This window comes from Homo sapiens, chromosome 2 (assembly GCF_000001405.40).
Source record: "Homo sapiens chromosome 2, GRCh38.p14 Primary Assembly".
In the NCBI taxonomy this organism is placed as follows: domain Eukaryota; kingdom Metazoa; phylum Chordata; class Mammalia; order Primates; family Hominidae; genus Homo; species Homo sapiens.
Window position 1 is genome coordinate 84,888,790 of NC_000002.12, and position 25,604 is coordinate 84,914,393.

The 25,604-nt window shown below is 43.4% G+C and overlaps 1 protein-coding gene and 2 long non-coding RNA genes across 3 annotated transcripts, besides 6 other annotated features; 2 read left to right on the forward strand and 1 right to left on the reverse strand.

The window, feature by feature from the left end:
* Nucleotides 1-70: an enhancer, noted in NCBI's record as "active region_16102". NCBI's record gives its function as "activates an Ori minimal core promoter by ATAC-STARR-seq in GM12878 lymphoblastoid cells {active_cell/tissue: GM12878}" and the evidence as "EXISTENCE:reporter gene assay evidence [ECO:0000049][PMID:35858748]".
* Nucleotides 81-180: an enhancer, noted in NCBI's record as "active region_16103". NCBI's record gives its function as "activates an Ori minimal core promoter by ATAC-STARR-seq in GM12878 lymphoblastoid cells {active_cell/tissue: GM12878}" and the evidence as "EXISTENCE:reporter gene assay evidence [ECO:0000049][PMID:35858748]".
* Nucleotides 181-14,147, forward strand: LOC105374837 (uncharacterized). The gene is made up of 3 exons (XR_940309.3): nucleotides 181-234; nucleotides 697-781; nucleotides 13,771-14,147. It is a non-coding gene; the product is annotated as an uncharacterized LOC105374837 (long non-coding RNA).
* On the reverse strand, nucleotides 12,854-18,232 carry LOC105374836 (uncharacterized). The gene is made up of 2 exons (XR_940308.3): nucleotides 17,874-18,232; nucleotides 12,854-13,089 (listed from the first exon to the last, which is right to left on the reverse strand). It is a non-coding gene; the product is annotated as an uncharacterized LOC105374836 (long non-coding RNA).
* Nucleotides 16,624-17,163: a silencer, noted in NCBI's record as "silent region_11689". NCBI's record gives its function as "represses an Ori minimal core promoter by ATAC-STARR-seq in GM12878 lymphoblastoid cells {active_cell/tissue: GM12878}" and the evidence as "EXISTENCE:reporter gene assay evidence [ECO:0000049][PMID:35858748]".
* On the forward strand, nucleotides 16,867-17,882 carry TMSB10 (thymosin beta 10). Its single transcript, NM_021103.4, has 3 exons — nucleotides 16,867-16,929; nucleotides 17,214-17,328; nucleotides 17,600-17,882. Exons 2-3 carry the CDS (start codon nucleotides 17,229-17,231, stop codon nucleotides 17,632-17,634), a joined length of 135 nt encoding a protein of 44 aa, NP_066926.1. The 5' UTR covers nucleotides 16,867-16,929; nucleotides 17,214-17,228; the 3' UTR covers nucleotides 17,635-17,882.
* Nucleotides 17,130-18,329: an enhancer, noted in NCBI's record as "CDK7 strongly-dependent group 2 enhancer chr2:85133043-85134242 (GRCh37/hg19 assembly coordinates)". NCBI's record gives its function as "activates an origin of replication core promoter dependent on BRD2, BRD4, P300/CBP, MED14 and CDK7 cofactors, with strong dependence on CDK7, by STARR-seq in HCT116 cells {active_cell/tissue: HCT116}" and the evidence as "EXISTENCE:reporter gene assay evidence [ECO:0000049][PMID:35650434]".
* Nucleotides 18,134-18,193: an enhancer, noted in NCBI's record as "active region_16104". NCBI's record gives its function as "activates an Ori minimal core promoter by ATAC-STARR-seq in GM12878 lymphoblastoid cells {active_cell/tissue: GM12878}" and the evidence as "EXISTENCE:reporter gene assay evidence [ECO:0000049][PMID:35858748]".
* Nucleotides 20,364-20,413: a silencer, noted in NCBI's record as "silent region_11690". NCBI's record gives its function as "represses an Ori minimal core promoter by ATAC-STARR-seq in GM12878 lymphoblastoid cells {active_cell/tissue: GM12878}" and the evidence as "EXISTENCE:reporter gene assay evidence [ECO:0000049][PMID:35858748]".

The following is a 25,604-nucleotide window of genomic DNA, read 5'->3' on the forward strand; positions in this document are numbered from 1 at the left end:
AATTCAGTCTTGTTGCACATAGATCAAGGCAGGTAAGGGTAAGCCAGAGAGATAGCAGGAGCTGGAAGTGAAGGGCCCCAGAGCTGAGATGAGGAGTTTGGCCCATATCTTGAAGACGTGGCAGAGCCATCAAAGTGTTTTAAGCAGGGGAATTGTGTAATCATACATACACTTTAGAGAGATCACTCAGACAGCAGCACGGAAGGGAAGCTGGAGAAAGTGAAAGCAGAAGTGGTAAGACAGTGAGGGGACATGAGAGGGACCTGCACCAGGCTCTGGCAGGGGTCAAAGAGAAGTGCTATCATAAAAGTAAAATCCACCGCACTTGGAGGTTAATTGGATGTAGGCAAGAGGGAGAACAAGAAACTTCCCGGAATTAGCACCCAGAAAGGGCCTCTAGACCACACCCTCTGGCCTCAACTCCACAGCCACAGTGCTGGTGGTGATGGAGGGTGAATACTCATAAGACCCCCAGTTTCATCAGCGTTTCAGTGGTCCTTCAGGCAACAAGAGAAGCAGGGGGAAAGGGAGTCTATCTCTCACTTCCTCCAAGATTAGGAACATCAGCTTCTTCTAGATCCCCCAGACTCTTTTACCCCAGCCTCCCCCTGAAGTCTCTTGAACTCCCACTGTCCTCTAGTCTTGCCTGCCTTTAGTAGAGTATCACCATCTCACGCAGTTTCCTTTTGTCCTGAGCACTGTGAAAAGGACTTGGGCCCCGGAAGCAGACAGAACTGGAGTCACATCTTGTCTGTGCCACTTACTAGCTGTGTGATCTTAGGTAAGTCACATAACATCTCTGAACTTTATCTTCTTCATCTGCAAAATGGGAATCAGAATATTTGTCTTGCAGGGATGTTGTAAAGACAATAACTAATGTAATATATAAAGAGCCAAGCAGAATATATGAAAACTGACAAAACATAATACACATAATGTAGAAAGCTCCTAATTTTTAAAAAAGAGAAAGAAAAAGGGTTATCAGGCTATTTGGGAAATCGGCAGAGATCATAAAAAGACAAAAAAAAAAAAGAGAGAGAGGAGTAAGAGGAGAAAGAAAAGGAGGGAAAGAAGAAAATGAGAGAGGGAAAGGAGAAATATAATAGTGCATGAAGAAATGAAAAAATACTCACTAGCTAATGAAATAAAAGCAAATTAATGTGGGAGATGGATAACGATGATAGCCTGACAATGTGAATGTACTTAATAGCACTGAACTGAACACTTAAAAATGATTAAAATGGTAAATTTTATGTTATGTATATTTTACCACAATTTTTTTAAATAAAATAATGTTTAAAAGCAAATTAAAACAGGTACATTTCCACCTCTCAAACTGGCAAAAATAGAAGCATGGCAATATGCAATAGGAAAGTAAAAGCATTTTGTTTTGTTTCAGTTTTATTTTGTTGTTGTTGTTGTTGTTGTTTGAGATCAAGTCTCACTCTGTTGCCCAGACTGGAGTTCAGTGGCGCGATCTCGGCTCACTGCAACCTCCCCCTCCCAGGTTCAAGTGATCTTGTGCCTCAGCCTCCAGGGTAGCTGGGACTACAGGCATGAGCCAATATGCCCGGCTAATTTTTGTATTTTTAGTAGAGATGTGGTTTCACCATGTTGGCCAGGCTTGTCTCAAACTCCTGACCTCAGGTGATCCACCCACCTCGGCCTCCCAAAGTGCTGGGATTACAGGCGTGAGCCACCGCACCCAGCTGTGAAAGCTTTTTGTAAGGCAGTTAGCACCTAGAAATTCCAGGAAAGGAATCTGTTCTTGGGAAATATTGACTCAATACACACGCGCATACAGACCGCAGTTAGGGAATCAGTGAGCTGGTCACTGAAACATTAAAACAATGAAACAATCCTTAGAATTTGAAAGTTACAAATGCGGTAGATCTGCAGACTCTAGAATGAGAAGACAGCAAATTAATGACTTATCTGGGGAGGGAGTGAGATGGGTGTGGGGTGGGGGAGGGAAGGAAAGAGGGTCTTTCTGCTTCTACTCTGTACGCTTCTGTATTTCTGATTTTTTTTTTTTTTTTTTTAAATAACAAGTACAAGCCAGGCACAGTGGCTTACGCCTGTAATCCCAGCTCTTTGGGAGGCCGAGGTGGGCAGATCACCTGAGGTCAGGACTTGGAGACCAGGCTGGCCAATATGGCAAAACCCCGTCTCTACTAAAAATACAAAAATTAGCCAGACATGGTTTCAGGCGCCTGTAATCCCAGCTACTCGGAAGGCTAGTCAGGAGAATCGCTGGAACCCAGGAGGCAGAGGCTGCAGTGAGCCGAGATCTCGCCACTGCACTCCAGCCGGGGCCACAGAGCAAGACTCTGCCATCTCAAAAATACATACATACATATGTACATACATACATACATAAAATAACAAGCACATCTTTGATAATCTCTTAAATTTTAATGATTTTTTTAAAACTGGCTACTTCTTGAGCATGTATTATGTGGCCACTCCAATTGAGAGTGTGCCTTATACTTCAAAACATAACAATCTACTGATTCTTCCTAATGCCTGAAGAACTTCCCACAGCGTGGCTTGTTTGCCATTTTTCATGATCATAAATAATGCTGCAGGGAATAGGGCAGTGAAGAAAATGAATGTTGCAGAAAACCTCAGGATTACCATTCTTGTTAGTCCAACTCGTTCATTAGTAACAGTGGCCTCAAGAGCTGAGCCCCCATGCCTGGCCAGTCTTTCCAAGAGATGCAACATGCTAACAGCAACCCCTGCCCTGATCTGGCTGGCTGACTGCCGTGACCTCCACTTGGCCCCCGAGGCCCCATCAGCTATCGGAATACTGTCCTGGCATCTGGCAACTGGTCATTTTATGACCTGGGTAAAGGAAGTGTGGGGTGTTCTTTCCTTCTTCCTTCTTTCTTGCCAGAGATCTGTTGTTTCCTGGGTAGGAAGTTCCTTTTGCCACATGAATGGCGATCAATACGGGGCCTGGCCTCACAGACTAATCTTAGTGGCCTTAGCTGAGGAAGACTGTCTGCCCAGGTCCCCTCCCCCTGCAGACCATAGGGCGCCGTGGCCATGGGAGCGTCAAAGATCTGCTTTCCTTCTTGTGATGGCCCCTGTAGAACTTCCTCATGGGCCAGAATCCCGGCTTAAAAGGGAGCCTCTCTCCAAAAGTGCATGAACACGCTTATTCCAAGGAAAGGTCTTTCTCTACTAAGAAAAATACGCTTTACAGCCTCCCAGAAATGAGGACAGCAATAATATTATTTTTTCCAGTTGGTGCTTGTATACATATATATACCGTTTTATTAAAATACGTTTTGGGCTTGAGACTTTATAGTTTTCATAAAATAACTGCCATGAACACGCCAGTCACCCAGTATCTCCACATAACAGGAGCCACCCTGTGTGCAGCCCTTGATCAGGGAAGCTTAGCACAGGGAGGTTAAGTTACTTGGCCAAGGTTGTACATCTAGTAGGTGTTGGATTCAAACTCACAAAGTCTACCTTTAGAGTCCAAACTTTCACCCATTTCCCTGTACTGCCACCTCTCACTACCAGCTAGCATTTTCTTTAAGAAGGAGATGTATTACATATATGAGGAAGAAGATATATATATTACTATATCCTCTTTTATATATAATATATATTATATTATATATATAAATATATATATAATTATATATAGATATATATAATTATATATAGATATATATATTCTATATTCTATATATATATAATATATAATATATAAATTATATATAGAATATATATTATATATAATATATTATATATATTATATATAATATATATATTATATATATTATATATAATATATATATTATATATATTATATATAATTTATATATATTATATATAGAATATATATTATATATAGAATATAGAATATATATAATATATATAGAATACAGAATATATATAGAATATAGAATATATATAGAATATATATTCATATATAGAATATATACATATATAGAATATATATTCATATATATGAATATATATTCTATATAGAATTTGAAATATATTCTACATAGAATATATATAATATATTAATATAATATATAGACAGTATATAATATAATATACAGACAGTATATAATATACAGACAGTATATAATATATAATATTATATATAATATTATATATAATATTATATAATATATTATATTATATATATTATATAATATATTATATTATATATAATATATGTAATATTATATATTATATTATACATAATATATTATATATAATATATTATATATAATATTATATATATTATATATAATATATATAATAATAATATTATAATATATAATATATAATAGTACAGTATATATTATATATATAATTCTATATATAATATATAGAATTCTATCTATTTATAATATATATAGAATTCTATATATAATATATAATATACAGAATTCTATATATATTATATATAGAAGTCTATATATTATATATTATATATTATATTCTATATATATTATAAATATATAGAATTCTATATATTTTATATTTATATTCTATGTTTAAATATAGAATATATAGATATATATAGATTTTATATATAGAACTCTATATAGATTATATATAGAACTCTATATATAGATATTATATATAGATATAAATACATATAGGATTCTATATATAATATCTATATATAAAATCTATATATAGAGCTCTATATATAATCTATATAGAGCTCTATATATAAAATCTATATAGAGTTCTATATATAATATATAGCAAGTTCTATATATAATATATATACAGTTCTATATATATTATATAGAGAGAGCATTCTCTATATATAATATATATAGAGTTCTATATAGAGAGCTCTATATATATTATATAGAGAGTGCTCTCTCTATATAATATATATATTATAATATTATATATATTATATATATTATATATTATATTATATATAATATATATAATATAATATATAATATATATAATAAATATAATATAATATATATTATATATATTATATATAATATATATAATATATATTATATATAATATATAATATATATTATATATATATTATATATATTATATATATTATAATATTATATATATTATATATAATATATAATAATATAATATAAATATTATAATATAAGAAGAAGACAAAAGAGTACAATGAACCCATATATAAATATCACCCAGCTTTTGAAGGATATAGTAACAGCTCCAGGACTAGAATTCCGTGGAACACAGTTTGGGAATCACCGTCCTAGGTCAATGTAAATGGCTCCTCCAGCATTTGATCAGAACACGGTAAGGGCCATCCAGGTAGTACCCAGGAGAAATCAGACCAGGTGCACAGAGGAAGCAGAGACAGTATACAGGGAGAGCAGAAGGGTCAGGAAAGCAGGCAAGGGAGAAACTCAGAGCTCCCGGGGGCGGCTGGCAGCAGTCTGGTTGCAGCCCTAGGGCATTCTTAGCCTAAGTCCCCTGGTGTGGACACTGCAAGGGACTACTCAGGTTCCCCTTCAAGAAAGGACTTGTCGAACCAGCTGGCTAGGAATGTTGCCAGCAGGTAGCCTCCAGGTGTCATTCTCTGTAGCACTGCCTTGGCTACAGAGAGCCACCTCGCCCTTACAGTCTCAGCCCATCTCAGCCCATCTGCTTCAGCGCATTAGCTTCAGAGGTCCCCTGCGGTGTTGGGGGTACTGAGGGTGTCATTAAGCCTACATTGTCTAGGTTGACTTCTCCTTCTCCCCAATCCCACTTCCTTCTTCTGCTTCAATAGGAGTGAATTCAAGGGAACTCCTTAATAAATATCCTGCACATTAAACCTGTCTGATTTTGCTTCCAGGGAAACCTAAACTGACATGCCCTTTTTGCTTAAGGGATCCCAAGTGAGTCTTTGTTCCTTGCAATCTAAAGAGGATAATTAACACAGTCACCCAGCCAGTCACCATATTGGGGCTGGGATCACTTTTACACTGTACTTCCTTTACAGAAAACATACAGACATTGGGACTAGAGAAAGAAAAAACACATGGGAGAGATTTTTAAATTGTATGCAGTATATCAGGGAAAGAGGTCAAAATGTACACACTAAGACCAATACTTAGGAAGAAAGAAAAACGCAGCTTGCTTTTTGTCTGGCAGTGCTTGGGTGCCCACACTGGCAGATGGGTAGTAAGTGAGCCGATTAAAGGAAACTCAGTCTCTTCCTGTTTGAAGCAGTCTGCTAAGGCTTCACTCAGTCTCCCCGCAGAAATGCTTGGTCTTGAGTGATTCCTTCTCTCTCTCCTCCCCAGAAAGGTTCAAGGCTCAGGGGCTTCCTTGCTTCATGGCTGTCAGGAAGAAGAGGTTCTCCTGGCGCTTATCCTCTCCATCCTTGCTGCATCTGCCGCCAAATCCTCTGCTGCTGACACATCTCAGGGTCTGTTTTCTTGGCAGAGTCATGGAGGTGGGGGGCTCTTGATGAGTCAGACTTCCCCTTGACCTTCCTAACCTGGAAAATTCCCCAAGATCTAACTGCTACTTTCCCTAAATTCCTGGCTTGGACGGCCTTCCCTGGGGCCCTCTTCACAGAGCCAGTTCATTCCTGTGTGTTGAAACCAGCCAGCCTTGCAAACTTAGCCTCAGGAAGTTTCTATGTTTTCCCGTGGGGCAGTATTATCTTAGCAGCTGGCACCAAAACTCTACTGAGGAAAGGAATTGTCTTTGGGGATCAGCTGCTGGTAGTAGGAAAGGAGGCCCAAAAACCTCCTTTAGCCAGAATGAAGGAAGCAAGGAACATTGTTCTGCTGTACACTGAACAAGTACACTATTCTACTGGGGAGAAAGAGGAGAGTTGGTATTTCTCAAGGGAAAGAATTAAGAGAAGGAGAGAATCAGAAAGGGTACAGGAGGCAGGGTGCAATGGCTCACGCCTGTAATCCCAACACTTTGGGAGGCCAAGGCAGAAGGATCACTTGAGGCCAGGAGTTAGAGACCAGCCCAGGCAACATAACGTGACCTCATCTCTACTAAAAATAAAAACTAAAAAAAAAATAACTGGGCATGCGCCTGTAGTTGCAGCTGCTCGGAGGCCGAGGAGGGAGGATCACTTGAGCCAGGGAAGTTGAGACTGCAGTGAGCCGTGATCACACCACTGCACTCCAGCCTGGATGACAGGGCGAGACCCCTTCTCAAAAATAGATAAATAAAAAAAATTATGTTGGGGGGTAGGTGGAGATAGTGTAAGTTTGGGAATACTTGGGAGAAGCACAGGAGGGTCCCCAGTGGCACAAAGTTGTGTCATTAAAGATATGTCTGTCTCTCCCCATAACCCAAAAACCTCTGATAAAAGTTGTACTGCACATACCAGCCGTATATTGTTCCTCTGAAAAAGGAAATCACGGCCAAGGGCTATCTACATATGGAGGTGCATTAATGTGGAGACACAGAAACTCTGAGAGATGAGAAATAACTATAAGAACAGAATATGCCTGAAAATTCAGAAAAATCATGGGGAAGCATCAAAAAGGAGTTGGAATCATTCTTAGCTAGATCTTGGTCAGATTCCAGAGAACATCCGAGTTACACATAAAATTTCAGAAACATCTGTCTTGTGGAGGTGAAAGGAGAGTTTAGATGTGAAAGGGATGATTTCTGAATAATAGACGCCAAGCCACTGATAAAGGGATCCCTCTACAGTGGTGTTTCAACTGCTAGTCACAGCCAATTAGTGGGTAATAAAATCAGACTGGCAGGTCATAATCAGCATTTTTAATAAAATGATAAAATGGCAAGGAACCATTCAACACCACTAGCCATTAGGGAAATGCAAATTAAAGCCATGATGAGATATCACTCCACACCTATTAGAATAACTAAAATTAAAACACTGACAATACAAAGTACTGGTGAGAATGCTGGGAAACTGGATCTCTCCTACATTGCTGGTGGGAATGTAAAACAATACGACCACTCTGCAAAATTGTTTGGCATTTTCTTACAAAACTCAGCACACACTTACCAAATGATCCAGTAGTCCCAGCCTCCCAACCCTGGGCATTTATCCCAGAGAAATGAAAACTTCCGTCCACCCCCAAAAATGCACACAGATCTTCAGAGCAGCTTTATTTTTAATAGCCCAAATATGAAACAACCAAAATGTCCTTCAACAGGCAGTACACCCATACTATAGGAACACAAAGAAATAAAAGTGTATGAAGTACTCAACAACTTGGATGGATCTTGTTTCTGTCTTTTTAAAAAATATAGAGACAGGGTCCACTATGTAGTGGCTGCCAAGGGTTATGGGTAGGGATGTGTGGGACTATAATAGGGTAACATGAGGGACTCCTTGTATGGTGATGGAATAAATCTGTAACTAGATTGTGATAGTGGTAATACAACTCTATACAGGTAATAAAAATGCCTATGGCTGGGCCCAGTGGCTCATGCTTATAATCCCAGCACTTTGGGAGGCCAAGGCAGGTGAATCACTTGAGGTCAGGAGTTCGACACCGGCCTGGCCAACATGGTGAAACCCCATCTCTACTTAAAAAAAAAAAAAAAAAATGGCCTGTAATCCCAGCTACTTGGGAGGCTGAGGCAAGAGAATCACTTGAACCCGGGAGGTGGAGGTTGCAGTGAGCCAAGATCATGCCACTGCACTCCACCCTGAGCAACAGAACCAGACTCTGTCTCAAAAAAATAAATAAATAAATAAAAGCCTGAAACTACACATGCTCAAATGAATACATGTAAAAATTGGTGAAATATGGAAATAGTCTATAGATTGGATGAACGTTGATTTCCTGGTTTTGATTTGAATTATTATAGTTATGTAAGATGTTACCACTGAGAAGAGTTGGGAGAAGGATACCAGGGACCTCGGTTTACTATCTTTGCAACTTCCTGTGAATCTATCATTATTTCACATTAAAAAAAATTAATGAAAAGGAATAGAATAGGACAGAGAAGGTCAGAGTTCTTCATTCAGAGTAAGGGTGAATATTGTTCTAGTGAAACTTTTGTTTCATTTGTGAGTGCTCATGTGAGTACTGGGTAACAATATTAAAGGTACTTAATGTATTTCTTGGGGGTGGGAGTGACCTCTCAGGTCAACAAAAATTTTTAAACCACTGATCTACAGTATGCTTAGCTGACTCAGAGACCTACAGGAGCCAGGCAGATCATATGAAGAAGCAAAACGGGCCTGGTTCATTAAGATTGGTGTCACTCATCTTTCCCATGTACAGTCAAATCTCTTACTATGGCAGGTTTTATAATGATACAAATATTCTTTACTTTCACAAATAAATGTGCTTTCTTATTTTTCTTGAATCACATGGCACTCTTGTTCCATCTTTCCTCCTCATTTTTTTCACTTTTTTCTTTATTGTGGTAAAATATACATAGCATATAATTTATATTTTTAAGTGTACAGTTCAGCGGCATTAAGTGAATTCACATTCTTGGATGACCATCACAATGATTCATCTCTAGAGCTTTTTCATCATCTCACACTGAAATTCTGTACCAGTAACAAGAACTCCCCATTCTCCCCTTCCCCCAGCCACTGGTAACCACTGTTCTACTTGCTGTCTCTATGTATTTTCTCCCTATTTTTGAGAGTGAATTAGTTTATCTATTGCTGAGAAACAAATTACTCCAAAACTTAGCAACATAAAACATAAAGTCACAGTTTCTGAGAGCAACTTTAGTTGAATAATTTCTAGCTCAGACTCTCTTATGAGGTTGCAATCAACTCCACGGCCAGGACTGCAGTCCTCTGAAAGCTTAGCTGAGGCTAGAGGACCCACTTCCTCACTTACTCATGCAGTTGTTGGCAAGTCTCAGCTGCTCACTGGCTGTTAGCCAGAGGCTTCAGTTCCTCACCACATGGGCCTCTTCACAGGCCTGCTCAAAACACAGTAAGTGGCTTCCCCCAGAATGAGAAATCCAAGGGAGAGAAGGACAGAGCCAGGCACCAAAATGGAAATTACAGTCTTTTGTAACTTAATCTCAGAAATGCCATACTATCATCTCTGCCATATGCCATCAGTCACACAGGACAACCCCAGTACAATAGAGGAGAGGACTACACAAGGATGGGAATAGGAGGCACTTGCTGGGGCCATCTTGAAGGCTGGCTCACACAGAGACCAAGGATCAAGAAATATTTCTGGCCAGGCACGGTGGCTCACACCTGTAATCCCAGCACTTTGGGAGGCCGAGGCGGGTGGATCACCTGAGGTCAGGAGTTCGAGACCAGCCTGGTCAACATGGTGAAACCCCATCTCTACTAAAAATATAAAAATTAGCTGGGCGTGCTGGCGCATGCCTGTAGTCTCAGCTACTAGGGAGGCTGAGGCAAGAGAATTGCTTGAACCTGGGAGGCGGAGGTTGCAGTAAGCCAAGAATACACCACTGCACTCCAGCCTGGGTGACAGAGCGAGACTCCATCTCAAAAAAGAAAAAAAAATTCTGTACTATAAGCAGAACACCAACCCAAATATAATAAGCAGCAATTGACACTTGTTTCCTTGTTTCCATGCTGGAGAGACATTAAGGAATGATAGAAATCCAGTACAGTGAAGAGGACATGCCTCATTTCAAGGGGGCAGCTGTTCACTGTGGTGTTGCCATGAGAAAATACAGACCCAGTGCTACTAGATCTTCAGTACAGAAATCTTCCAATGTTTGGGGGTTGCCTGAAGTCTATGTTAAATTTAGTGTGGCCAGACAAAATACATATGCCAGCTGGATCCAGGCTGGCAGTTTGCAAACTCTGCCGCAGGGTCTAGGCAAGGGCGGTGCAGTGGTGAGGTGCCCAGGCTTTGGAATCAGCCAGACTTGGGATTCAAGTCCCAGCAATGCCAATGACCAGCTGTGTGACGTCGACCAAGGCTTAGATACCTATACTATAAAGCAGAGATGTTCAAAATCCTGCTATTTCACACTATTATTTTGTCGAGGATTAAATAGGATAATACATGTGAAGTCCTTACTGCCAAATCTGGAACACAGTATCTGCTCAGTAATGTAAGTCGCTGTCATCATCGCTATTCTAACAGCAGATATGGAAAATCAAACAGTAACATTCTCACTCACACTGTGGCCTTTAGCCACCTGGGCTACCTAAGCAACTGCCAAGGTTTACGTAGGCACTAATCCACACTGTTCTCCACAGAGCAGAACAATCTCTGCTGAGGCTGAACCTCAAAGGCCCATTTTATTTTCTTCACAATTTTATCTTGGATGAGCCCTTAAGCCCCATGACCTACAAAAACATACAGCAGTTTCATGGTATGGAGAATATGGAATTCACATCCTGATTTCTTTGCTTCCCCTGCCTCCTTTGTGTGAGGTTAGCAACTATTTTCAGGCTGGTAAAATCTTCAGGCTGGCAAAACTGGCACTCAGAAGGAGACTGTTTCACAAATGGAATAGTAGCAATAGACGGACCAGTAAGGTCATCTAGGGCAAGCTTTCCTCACTTGTGAGCCTATTCTGGCCCATCTCTATAACAGTCCAAATACTTGGCTATCCTCTTCTCATTGAGGATAGCCTTTTCTGATTGAATGCCTCCAATGACAGGGAACTGATCACTTACCCCAAAGTAGCTCATTCCATTTCAATTAGGAAGTTAAGCATTTTTTGCTCTGCCTGGAAATGGCCCAGGTTTATGCATTTGTTCAAAGAATATTGACTGAGCACTTACTATATGTCAGGCATTGCCTTAGGTGCTGGAGATACAGTGGTGAACGAGACAGATGAGGTCTCCCATTTTCTATGGCAGGACATAGACAATACACAAAGAAATGAATGTGTAGCATGTTTACTTGTATATTGGTTAGAGATGGATTCTATGAAGAAAAATGAAAGACACTAAAGAGCAACAGAATGGCAAGGGTGTTGCTCTATATGGATGGCCAAGGAGAGTTCTCTGAGGAAAGAGACACTTCAGCAGGTTCCTAAATGAAGGAAAAATGTGCGCAATGCATATGTTTAGGCCAAGAAGAGCATAAACGAGGGCAAAGGTCCTATAGCAGGAGTGAATGGTTTTCTCACATTCAAAGGAAATCTGGACTGGACTCTTTCTTCCTATCCATACAATCACAAATTTCACTGCCATTTGCCAGTTAACCACATTAATCATCTCTCCCTGTATTTGTAGGATTCATATTAGGGCCAGGAAGCTTCCACATCTGTCTCTATCAGGTTTATCTCATCACATTTTGTTCATTTCTCTACGGTATCCAGCTGGTTTTGGAGCTTAGAGATTCATCCTTCATAACATAATCATTATTCTATCTACATCCTCATTCCAGTCTCTGATAAAAGTGTCAAGTTGGACAAGTCTGAGGAATGAAGCCCCATGGCAAGCCTCCAAAGTTGACCCCCAAGTTGACAGTCATCAAGACTTTCTTAGTTCCTCTTATTAGTTCTACATTTTCCAGAACATCCTTCTTGACAAAGAAAATGGCAATGTCATTGCAGTTTAGTAGTTCAGCTTTGTCTATTCCATCTGTGAACAGTATAAAATCTGTTCCCAGCAGCAAGCTGAAATGTTGTCACATATAAATGGCACCCCAAGTCATAAGTGAATACAAGGCATGACCGTGAATATTGACTGACTTTGAGTCATTTACTACACTACACTTGTAACTCGAGAGTTTCATTGTATCTTCCACAGCCAGAATGCTCCCAGATATTTTGTGAGCATTCAATAAACATTTATTGAATAAGTATATGTGTGTTACTTTAAGTATCTAGGAAAAAAATCCCCAAATGAGATGGGAGTGCCTGGAATCACCAGGTTATAATTTATCTACCTCATGGTGTTCCAGTTATCTCATGCTGTGTAACAAAACATTCTCAAACTTAGTGTCTTAAAACAACTACATTTATTTTGCTCATGAGTCTGCAATTTCAGCAGGGACAACTCATCTCTGCTCCACTTGGCATTAGCTGGGGCAGTTTGAAGCTTCGAAGTCTCCTTCACTTGTGTGGTTAGTGGTTGATGCTGGCTGTTAGCTCTGACCTCAGCTGAGGCTGTGGCTGGAATGCCGACATGTGGCCTTTCCTTGTAGATGCTTGATTTTCTCACAACTTGGAGGCATCCTGAAAGAACATCAGAAAGAACCATGTGGTCTTTTATGACCTAGCCTCAGAAGTCACAAAGCATCATTCATTCCATGTGTTACTCACTAAAAGAAAGTCACTAAGGCCAGTCTGTACCCAAGAAATGGTGGGAAAATGTCAAAGAATATGCAGATGTTTTAAAACCACTGCCCATGGGACTGGCTGAGACATAGATTTTGACCATTGTCCTTAAGCAATGAATGCCTAAGAGGCTGCCTGCTATGGTAGAGATGGGCCACAGGGCTGCACTGAGCAAGAATAAGGAATGTCTGTCTGCAAGTCCCCCTAAAGCTCCTTTGTTTGGGAGTCTTGCATACTTACTCGGTCTCCAAACATAGGTCTCCATAGCTGTATTTAGAAGTCAATTCCTTTGTTTTCTCAATAAAGGGAAGTTGGAATGAAAGTTCACCATGGGTCCAAATTGGTACAATTGAATATTCCTACACCCAGGTCAAAGGTGGGGCCCGGGAATGTATTATAATAATACCTAAACAATTATTGGCATTGCAACTGAAAAGGAGTCAAGTGCCAGTGAAACCCTCCAAAGAATCACTGTCTCTGAAAATCTGGATATTTTTACATTCAATTTAGCAGATCCTTCAACAGTGTATGGCAGAGACCTCTCCAAGACCACCCAACCCTGCTTTCTTTTTCTCCTAGGGACAGCTAGACTATATTTCCCAGCCTTCCTTGCAGTTATGTGAAACCAAGTGAATGAGCTCTGGCCAAAGAAATGAGAGCGAAAGTAATGGAGACTACTTCCAAGCCTGGTCCATAAAAACTCTAGTGTGGTCCTCTAGCCTCTCCTCTTTCCCCATCCACTGGCTGGATGGTGTGGACTTCAAGGACCTAGACGAGAGCAGAGTAACAAGAGAGAAGGGGCCTGAGTTCCTGAGTCACTAGATGGAAAAGAATTGCCTGACCAGCAACATCAGCACAGAATATTGCTGCATGAGTAGAAAATAAACTTGTAGGCTGGGCGCGGTGGCCCACACCTGTAATCCCAGCACTTTGGGAGGCTGAGGTGAGTGGATCATTTGAGGTCAGGAGTTCGAGACCAGCCTGGCCAACATTGTAAAACCCCATCCATACTAAAAATACAAAATTAGCCGGGCATGGTGGTGCATGCCTGTAATCCCAGCTACTCGGGAGGCTGAGGCAGGAGAATCGCTTGAACCCGGGAGGCAGATATTGCAGTGAGCCGAGATCATGCCTCTGCACTCCAGCCTGGGCTACAGGGCAAGACTCCATCTCAAAAAACAAAAAAGAAAATAAACTTGTATTGCATTAAGCCACCTTGGGGGCTGTGTGTTACCAGTTGTTTGCTGACCCTGACGTGAAGTTCCACTTTCATTCAAGAAATGTTCACTACCCTCCCTCTCTTACCATAGGTGGAATATTTTCCCCACTCTGTTGATGGTGGGCTTGACCAATAGGATGGCAGCAAACATGACAGGATATGACAGGCTTTGACACTTTAACATTTCTACACTATCTTGCAGTACAACCCTCTTGCTATTCTGCCATCACCAAAGAATCAGCCAGAGGATAAGATACCTGTGGAGCAAACCTAGACCCAATACAAAGTCTGGAGCCAAGCTCAGCCCGGCCCAGCCCAGCACCATCTGACCTGCCCATATAGGAACAAGAATAAATCATTGTTTAAACTCCTAAGCTTTGGGTGGTTTGTTACATGGCATATTGCAGCAGAAGTTAACCAATGCACTCATCAAATATAAGTGTGATATTCTAATGAGGTTGCTATTTGAAGTATCCACTTGAGGCCAGGCACAGCGGTTCACACTTGTAATCCCAGCTCTTTGGGAGGCCAAGGAGGGCAGATCACTTGAGGTCAGGAGTTTGAGACCAGCCTGGCCAACATGGTGAAACCCCGTCTCTACTAAAAATACAAAAATTAGCCGGACATGGTGGCACGTGCCTGTAATACCAGCTACTTGGGAGGCTGAGGCACAAGAATCGCTTGAACCCGGGAGGCGGAGGTTGCAGTGAGCTGAGATTGCACCACTGCACTCCAGCCGGGGCAACAGAGTGAGATCCGTCTCAAAAAAGAAAAAAAAAAAAAAAAAAAAGCTGCAGTGACCTGTGATCCCACCGCTGCACAGAGACCCTGCTAAAAAAAAAAAAAGAAAGAAAAAGTATCCACTCTATGCCTCTTCTTTATCTCACCTCAGTTTATGCCAAGGCTATTTTATAGATGAAGAAACTAAGGAAAAGATTTGCCCAAGGTCACACAAGCCTATGCTCTCTTCCCACTGTTCCAAACTGAAGGAACGTGAGAAAAGCAGGTAAAATCAGGAGGGGAGAAGCAGGGAGTGGTGCTCAGGCTTGTAATCCCAGCACTTTGGGAGGTTAAGGCAGGCAGATGGCTTGAGCCCAGAAGTTCGAGACCAGCCTGGGCAACATGGTGAAATCTCGTCTCTACAAAAAGAACACAAAAGATTTGCCGCTAGTGGTGGTGCACGCCCGCAGTCCCAACTGCTCAGGAGGCTGAGGTGGAAGAATCACTTGAACCGGGGAAGTCCAGGCTGCCATAAGCCGTGATCACACCACTGCACTCCAGCCTGGGTGACAGAGTGAGACCCTGTCTCAAAAAAAGTAAATAAATAAAATCAGGACCGAATTTAGGATGTCACCACCAAATCCCACTTTAAAGAGCTCGGTAATACTTCACACTTAAAAAAGGAAAGGTCAGGACAAATAAAAGAATGACCAGCCTTAACTCCGGGGCTGGTAATTTATGGAACTTATTACCTAACGGTGTTGCACAGGCTGAAAATACAACTTTTCTAAGAAAGATGTGAATAATTGCAGTATACCACTCCTACAATGGGTTAATAAGAAAAACAAGAACGTTTGTAGGCATGTGGGTCTCTATTATCCTCAAGGTTAACTTCAAGGAGGAAAACCGCACCCGCTGATACAGTGTTTCTAGGAGCTCGACGAGAAAAGGCAAACTGCGAGCCTTCTCGGGACGCCCTGTTCCCACCACAGCCCTTCACACAATGCGTCTAACAGCATTTAAGGAACACCCGCCACGCCAACGATCCTGCTGGAACCGCCCAGTTCAGGGAACAGGGGACGACTGACCAGAAGGCAACCGCCCCCAACCTGAGCAAAGAGCGCTGGAAACCTATTCCCCCCTCCCCCTACACCCCCCCGCCCCCCGCTCCACTACGGGACCCTCGGCTCGAATTCTTTTAGTGCAGGACCACCTTAGGACTCAGCCTCCCTAAGGAGAGGAAAAGTGGGGGAGGGAAGGGGACTCTGGAGGAGCAAAAGCAAGAGGCCTGGGGGCGACTGGGGTGGGGCGTCTCCTAGAGCGAGGATTGCTGCAGAGTGCGCGTGCACGCCCGCACATCCACACCCACGGCTACACATCATATCTGCACACGCACAAAACCACACACCCTCCCACGCCGGTCCCATATCCTTTCTGCGGGGTGAGCAGCAGATTCCCGGAAAGGGGGAAATGTAGCCGCAAAAGCAAAGCCGGGGGCCTGGCGCCCACTCTGGCGGCGACTACAGCCCCCACGCTGGGCACACTGCGAGCTGGGGGTGCCCGGCGCGGGAGAAGCCGCGCCCAGCCGGGCTGGTAGCCCAGCGGGGGGCGCGGCAGGGCGAGGAGCAGCCCGCGCTGCTCCCGCCCCTCGGGTGCCAGCACCGCCCCTGCTGCGGCGGGTGAGGGGCGGGGCGGGGCGCGGCGTATATAAGGCTAGGGGCGGGCGCCGCTCTTTTGTTTCTTGCTGCAGCAACGCGAGTGGGAGCACCAGGATCTCGGGCTCGGAACGAGACTGCACGGTGAGTGCGGCGCCGGGGCGGGGGGCCCACCCAGGGTGTGGTCGGATCCGGTGCACCGGGCGGGCGCGCCGCAACCGCGACAGGCGCCCTTCTCGGACCGGACGCAGGGGCCGGCGACCACGCCCTGGGACCGAGAAGAGGGGTGCGGGACGCGCCCAGATCCTCGGCCTTGGGGCTGCTCGGCACGCCTTGGCGCGAGTGCCACGTCGAGAGGCGTCGGCGGGGAGCGCGGAAGGGGACGCTGGCCCCCAGGCCCAGGTCAAGCGCCTTGGTTTGCCCACTAGGATTGTTTTAAGAAAATGGCAGACAAACCAGACATGGGGGAAATCGCCAGCTTCGATAAGGCCAAGCTGAAGAAAACGGAGACGCAGGAGAAGAACACCCTGCCGACCAAAGAGAGTGAGTGTGCCTCGGTCTCCCGCGCCCCAGCCCAGCCCCTCACCCTGCTCTTCCTTGCAAACCCACTCCTCCACCCCCCACCCCGCCGTTGTCCCCGGTGTGGGCGGCCCCGGCCACTCTTTCAGTTTCACAAAGCGCCTTGTTTCTCCCCAGCCCCAAGCTTCCTTCTAAATCCCCACACCTCGTGGGTGCCTCGCCCACACCGGGAAGCACCTCGGTTGCGGGTGGGGGTTGCAGCTCCCCTCCAGCGCCCGCTTCCCGCTCTCCACAGCCATTGAGCAGGAGAAGCGGAGTGAAATTTCCTAAGATCCTGGAGGATTTCCTACCCCCGTCCTCTTCGAGACCCCAGTCGTGATGTGGAGGAAGAGCCACCTGCAAGATGGACACGAGCCACAAGCTGCACTGTGAACCTGGGCACTCCGCGCCGATGCCACCGGCCTGTGGGTCTCTGAAGGGACCCCCCCCCAATCGGACTGCCAAATTCTCCGGTTTGCCCCGGGATATTATAGAAAATTATTTGTATGAATAATGAAAATAAAACACACCTCGTGGCATGGCTGGCGTGGTCTGAGTCTTTTAGTTGAGTATGCGTGGGCAGTGCCACTGCAGCAAAGCCCCTCGATGGAGTAGAGTTCCTGCCGCAAAGGGGAGGAGGTGGGTCGCAGAATGGGCTGACTCGGAGGGAGTTTTTAATTTTGGCTTTACCTGCTTCTCCGTAAGATTTCATGACTTGTTAGCCACTTAACTCTTGCTCGTAAGCAATCTGTGTAAAATTTAACCCCACTTTGTCCCCAGGTTGCGTTGGAAAATGCTTTTTCAAAAGAGCAAGGTTTGCTTTTGATAAGCTTCGAAAGCCCCACTGTTTCCCTCTGGCCTCCTCCTAGCTGACTCAGAAGGGAACACTGATTTTAAAGAAAGAAAAGACAATCTGGAATGTTGGAAATTGGGTGAGGTCACAAAGTCTCCGGAAGCCTTTCTTCGGGAGCTTAAAACAAAGGCGGGATCTAGGGATACAGCAACGGGAACGTCAGAACTAGAAGAACCAACACTAGAACTGGGGGAGGGGAGGGGGGAAGAGCTTTTGTCTTTTAACCCTAGTTCAGAACCTCCCACAAAAACATTAGCCATTAGAGGAAGTGCTAGACTGATCTGCTACCACCCAGTGCTCAGCAGGAAGGGTGGGGATGTGGTGGGAGGGAGGAAGGGTGGGCTGGCGCTGGCGCTGGCGGCCAAGCTCCAAGGGATGACACCTCAAACCCACAGGGAAGGAATAGGACCAGCCCAAGGGGGCCTGACAGTTGGGAACCTGGGGCTGCAGGCCATTCAGAAGCAGAAGAAACAGGCTTATAAAGACAGGGGTGGAGTTTTCTTTAAGGAAGGTGGATAGGACACTGCTTAGAGATTCGTCCCACATTTTTGCCCGGCCCCAAGAGGCTGGGCACTGGGTGAAGACAGTTAATTCGAATAAGATACGGTCCCTGTCCACGAGGAATTTAAAATCTGGTGAGTGAGATAGCCACAGCAGACCAGAGTCAGGACACCTAGGCTTGGCAGGGAGACTCATGCCCAAAGGCATTCTCTCTGAACTCCTATCTGCACCTCCCTCCTGGTACCTGGACACATACATCACCTCCCCCATTAGAGTAAATAGAGAGACTTTTTTTTTTTTTTTTTTTTTGAGACGGAGTTTCGCTCTTGTCTCCCAGACTGGACTGCAATGGTGCGATCTCGGCTCACTGCCTCCGCCTCCCGGGTACAAGCGATTTTCCTGCCTCAGCCTCCCCAGTAGCTGGGATTACAGGCATGAGCCACCACGCCTGGCTAACTTTTTGGTTGTTGTTTTTTTTTTTTTTTTTTTTTTTGAAATGGAGTTTCGCTCTTGTTGCCCAGGCTGGAGTGCAATGGTGCAATCTCAGCTCACCACAACTTCCACACCTCCGCCTCCCGAGTTCTCCTGCCTCAGCCTCCTGAGTAGCTGGGATTACAGGCATGCACCACCACGCCCGGCTAATTTTGTATTTTTAGTAGAGACGGGGTTTCGCCATGTTAGCCAGGCTGGTCTTGAACTCCTGACCTCTGGTGATCCACCCGTCTCAGCCTCTCAAAGTGCTGGGATTACAGGCGTGAGCCACCATGCCCGGCTGAAAGATTCTTATTAATTGATATTGGTGACTCTCACAGTAGTCAGCACTTAGTAGACACTCATAAGTGCTCACTGAATTGTAACTGAAGTATCATATGGCCTCGCCTGCTCCAACTTGGCTATGCTAAAGCCAAGCTGCTACCAGCCCTCCTCCCCCACTGTCTTGTTGGTTCTATTCTATTCTATGTACACATTGACAGGGCCCAAGCATGGTGAACTTGTGGAAGTTCAGGGAAGGCAAATACTTTCATTTCCCTCCCTGAGCCCAGTTCAGGATGAAATCCTACTGAAATAAGGGGAAGTACAGTTAACCTACAATTGAAGCTATTGGTAGGAAGCCTATATTACCCAGATGACAACTATAGGTCTCAGCCAGCTAAAAGATTTTGGATATTGGGTTGCTGATTTCTGAGAAATTCAGAAGCTGTGTTCCTGTTCCGCTTAATTCAACACGCTTTTTTTTAAGAACTCAGTGCCCATCATTGTACTAGGCCTGTGGAGGCTACAGAAGACATGTGCCAACTAACTACACAAAAGGCAGAATAAAATAAATGCTAAAGAGAGATTTAAGTAAAACCCTCTGGGAAAGTAGACAAAGGAGTGGTTAACTCTGGGACATGGTGCTGCTTCACGGAAGAGGAATCATTTGAAAGAAGACCTAGAGAAGTGAGAATGAGAGCAGGGCTTTCTCAATAGAAGGAGGAGCAAGGTATAGTGATACCACAGCATGTTCAGCAATGGGAAAGGTAAAGGTTCATTGAAAACAAAAGCACTTCAAAATTACCCTAGAAGGTAAGTAGGGTGTGGTTTTTCCTGTAGACAGTTGGAAACCACTGCAGATTTTGAGGGTTGGGGCAAAGTTATCTAAGATGTATGTGATAGCATGTGGAGGATGCTGTGGCTGATACAGATGGCTACGTACCCAACCACTACCACCACTGCCACCACCATCACTGCCATTAACACCATAACCACCACTGCCATCACAACCATCATCATTGCCACCACCATCACTGTGATCACTGCCATCACCATTGCCGCCACCAGCACCCATCACCATTACCACCATCACACCTCCACCACCACACCACTACCATTACCATCACCATGACCTTGCCACCACCTTTATCACCATCAACAGCACCACTATGACCACACCACCCCATCCCCATTGCCACCATCATTACCACCACCATCCCTATTGCCATCACCACCACCATCACCATTGCAACCATCACCATCACCTCCACCATCACACCACCACTACCATTATCATCATCACCATTGCCACCACCATCACTACCATCACTACTACCATCACCACCTCTACCATCACCATTGCCACCATCACACCTCAACCACCACACCACTACCATCACCATCACCAATGACCATTGCCACCACCTTTATCATCACCATCAACAGCACCACTATCACCACACCACCCTGTCCCCATTGCCACCATCGTCACCACCACCATCCCTATTGCCACCACCACCACCATCACCATTGCCACCATCACCATCATCTCCACCATCACACCACCACTACTATTATCATCATCACCATTGCCACCACCACCACTACTACCATCACCACCTCCACCATCAGCATTGCCAACACCTTCACCATCACCACCACCACCACCATCCCTATTGCCGCCGCCACCACCATCACCATTGCCACCATCACCATCATCTCCACCATCACACCACCACTACCATTATCATCATCACCATTGCCACCATCACTACTACCATCACCACCTCCACCATCGCCATTGCCAACATCTTCACCATCACCACCACCACCATCTTCACCATCACCACCACCACCACCACCATCACCATCACCACTACCAACAACAATAACGACATCAACACCAACACCCATACATCATCTTCTTCTACCCTGCCTATGAACAATGGCCAATAGAAGACCAATATTATGCAGATATCAATCAATGAGCTTCAGAGGGCCCAGTGCAGGAAATGAGGCTTGAGTAGTATAAATTTAAGGCACTTTGGGGTTCAGCAATATAAAAATCTGTGAGGACATTTTGTTTTGGTTTGGTTGTCATAATAATTAGGGGACATTATTGGCAGTTCATAGGCAGAGACCAGAAATGTTTGACATTCTGAAATGCATAGAACAATCCTACACATCAAATATTTGTCTCATGCATGACTTTGTTTTAACTCTTTACTGTATTATAACATATATATGGTGGCCAGGTGTGGTGGCCACACCTGTAATCCCAGCACTTTGGGAGTCCAAGATGGGCAGATAACTGAGGTCATGAGTTCGAGACCAGCCTGGCCAACATGGCGAAACCCCATCTCTACTTAAAATACAAAAATTAGCCAGGCATGGTGGTTGGTGCCTGTAATCCCAACTACTCAGGAGGCTGAGGCAGGAGAATTGCTTGAACCCGGGAGGCGGAGGTTACAGTGAGCCGAGATCGCGCCATTGCACTCCAGCCTGGGTGACAGAGTGAGACGCCATCTCAAAAACAAAACAAAAATTTAAAAACCATATATATAGAAAAATACACAGAACTGTACAGTTGGATGAATCTTTGCAAACTGAACACACCCTAATGCCTCTTCCCAGTCATATAACTATATGTGTTCTAACAGCATGTATACATTTTGCCTGTTTTTGAATGTAATATAAATAGATGCATGACTTCTATTCATATAGGTAAAACATCTCTTTATATGAGTCCAGCAACAACTAATTTTGCCCAATTTTACTATAAACTTTATTTGCCAAGAATGAAAACTATCATGTAATAGAGGGATGCCTTTTTTTTTTTAACTTGCAGCTTCACTAAGAATTGATCACTATTGCAGAAAATCATTTCACTAATAGAAATATCCTCTTGGTTTCTGAATTTTTTCATACAACACAATTGTATCATGTCCATCTGAAGCTGCTGGATCATGATAATATTACACATAAGTGAAAACATACATAAAGTGAAGACTACTTCTTTATATGCTAGAATATTGTTGTACCATCTTGTATTAGTCAGCTTTTGATAACTTATGCTGCAGTGACAAAAAACCCCAAAATCTCAATGGCTTAAAATAACACAAATCTATTTCTTGTTTACATTACACATCAGTTGCTGCTCTGCTCCTGTTCCACATGTCTTTTTCATTCTGACAGCCAGGCTAAAGGAGCAACCCCTATCTGAGACATGTTGTTGTTACGGCAAAGTCATGCGTCTTCTCAGACGTAGCACTTCCATTCATGTTACGTTGGTCAAAGAGGCAATGTAAATTACAAGTCATCAGGCTGGGATGTATAATTCCATTGTGGGGAAAGCGGAAAATAATTAGAACTCATAATACAATTTGCTATATATATTAAAATGCATATACCTATTTTCTTTATAAATTACCTTTATTTTACCTTTATATTCCGGTTAGGGCTTATATTTATGTTTTTAATGTGTGTGTAGGGGCAGGTTATATTATCTCTGATTTTCATTTCAGGAAAGAGGAGTGTTATAAAATACTTGATATGTAAGAAGGAGTTGGTTCTGAAGGGTTGGGAACCAGTGGTCTGAAGCAATCATGGTAATTCCATTATCTAAGAATAAGCATGGGTTGTGATCCAGGCCAAGGAGACCTCACAGGAAGCCTGTAAACAGGCTTCGTGGAAGATTTTGTTTCCTTTTTAAAACAGGCATAAGTACAAATGTGGTGATGTGAGAATGTGACATGTGAAAGATGACAGTCATCTGGGGGAAATGCTAACATCATGAGGGTGGCAAAGATTGAAAATGGAAAGAATCTAGGTAGTTGGTAAGCCCTTGAGCTGCTGAGTTTTCCTAAAAGTGCCTTATCTTTGAACTTTTTGTTATGTGAAACAATAAATATTTATTACATTTAGGAAGTCTATGGTTGGGTTTTCTGTTACTTATAGTCAAAGTATTCTAACAACGATCAGCTGGAAAGAGAAAAGTTTAACTGCAGAAAGTATTTCTGCAGGCGTGGTGACTCACACCTGTAATCCCAGCACTTTGGGAGGCCGAGGTGGGCGGATCACGAGGTCAGGAGATCGAGACCAGCCTGGCTAACATGGTGAAACCCGTCTCTACTAAAAATACAAAAAATTAGCTGGGCGTGGTGGCGAGCGCCTGTAGTCCCAGCTACTCGGGAGGCTGAGGCAGGAGAATGGCGTGAACCTGGGAGGCAGAGCTTGCAGTGAGCCGAGATCGCGCCACTGCACTCCAGCCTGGGCAACAGAGCGAGACTCTGTCTCAAAAAAAAAAAAAAGAAATACTGGTTAGTAGGATATTATAGTAGTTCAGACAAAAGGTAGGAAAAACTTTAATCAAGGAAAGACCCTCACATATTAGTATGATGGCAAATATCTAATAATCAGCTCAGTTCTGAGTAGAGGTGGGGAGGAGCTGATTTGTAGCTTTTGCTGATTTCCGCGGTGTAAATATTGCTAATTTCAAGCTGCCAACCGTTTAACAACCAACTTGCCTGCTTTCTGAAAATTTAACAATTGGCTCTTCGCAAGCTGCTGCCAGTTGGCTCCAGAACACCACTGACTATAGGGATAGGAAAGCAGGGCTGATATAAAAGATATTGCAGAGGGAGAATTAGCAAGACTTCGGATTATATGGGAAATTACAGAAATTGTAATCTGACAGATGAAAATAAATTTTTATTTATCTATGTGACTTCATTTTTCTGCTTTGAGTTTCAGAGGGGAAAACTGAAGCATTCTATAACCAGTGCATTTCCCAGAAAGTACGCAGAGAGACACAATACTGCTTTGGAGAGAGAGAAAGTGTTTTTTACAAGTTCCCAAGTGAGTATTATAAATTAGTTTTATTGCCAACATATTGTACGGAGAGACAATAAAACAAGGCCATAATAAAGTTGGTGCCTATGGTGATCCCGGTGAAGGGCAAGGTGAACTTACAAGATATCGCAGTATGATAGAAGCTGCATCAAGCAAAACCCAGGAAGCTAACACTGGGGGTGGTGTGGGTAGAAGCACAAAGTGAGAGAACAGCAGGCTGGACTGGTGGGAGTTAATGGCTAGTTAGGGCCAAACAAATTGAAGAAGCAATAAAATTATTAATTGATCTATTGCTTTCTCCATTCATTCAACCACAATATATTAAGCATCTGCTAAGTACTGGGTCCTATGCTAGGTACTTGATCAGGATAAACAATATGGATTCTTTTTTTTTTTTGAGATGGAGTCTCACTCTGTTGCCCAGGCTGGAGTGAAGTGGTGCGATCTCAGCTGACTGCAACCTCCGCCTCCTGGGTTCCAGCAATTCTTCCCGGGTAGCTGGGACTACAGGTGCGGGCCACCATGCCCAGCTAATTTTGTATTTTTACTAGAGACAGGGTTTCACCATGTTGGCCAGGCTGGTCTCAAACTCCTGACCTCAGGTGATCCACCTGCCTCGGCCTCCCAAAGTGCTGGGATTACAGGCATGAGCCACCATGCCTGGCTACAAAATTTATTCTTTGTAACGTAATTCTCTCAAAGATAGAATGATGAGATGACTCAGATTAATGACAAAATATGGGATCATGGAACTATGTGTCCTGGTTTAAAACTAAAAGGACACTAAGATGATTTTTTACCTCCCCTGTGAAATTCAGAAGACTGAGGTATCCGAGAGACAGCACTGTTGGCTCAGCCCTGGCTTTACTCTACATTTACTCTGAAGTCCTGTGGCATCCGTGTCTATTTCTTCAATATTACGTTGGTGTGCTTCGTAGAAGTCAACAAGATCAGAAGGACTATTGGTTAGAAGATAAAAACCACTGGCCCTACAAATGCTATTCAAGGTTGTCAAACAATCCATAGTTAGGAATTTATTCTATATTGTGGAAAAACCTTATTCTCTCAGAAGACAATGCTGCAGGGAAAAATGCCCACTCTTACATCAATGCAGCCCCAAGACCTTCATGGAAGCATCTGTAGCTAAAAAGAACCCATTCTTTGAGTCGCTTTGTTTGTCCAAATGTTATCTCCTGCCAAGCTATCTCTTATTGTGTTTCCTGCTACTCAGATGTTCAGGTTTTTTGATCTGGCATGTTCTTAGGAAAAAAATGAGTGAGGTGTATAATCGTATGATGAGGAT

Coding starts and splice junctions, on each gene's coding strand:
- TMSB10 (NM_021103.4), top strand. CDS start 17,229: ATGGCAGACAAACCAGACATGGGGGAAATCGCCAGCTTCGATAAGGCC. Junction 17,329..17,599: donor CACCCTGCCGACCAAAGAGA/GTGAGTGTGCCT, acceptor CGCTCTCCACAG/CCATTGAGCAGGAGAAGCGG.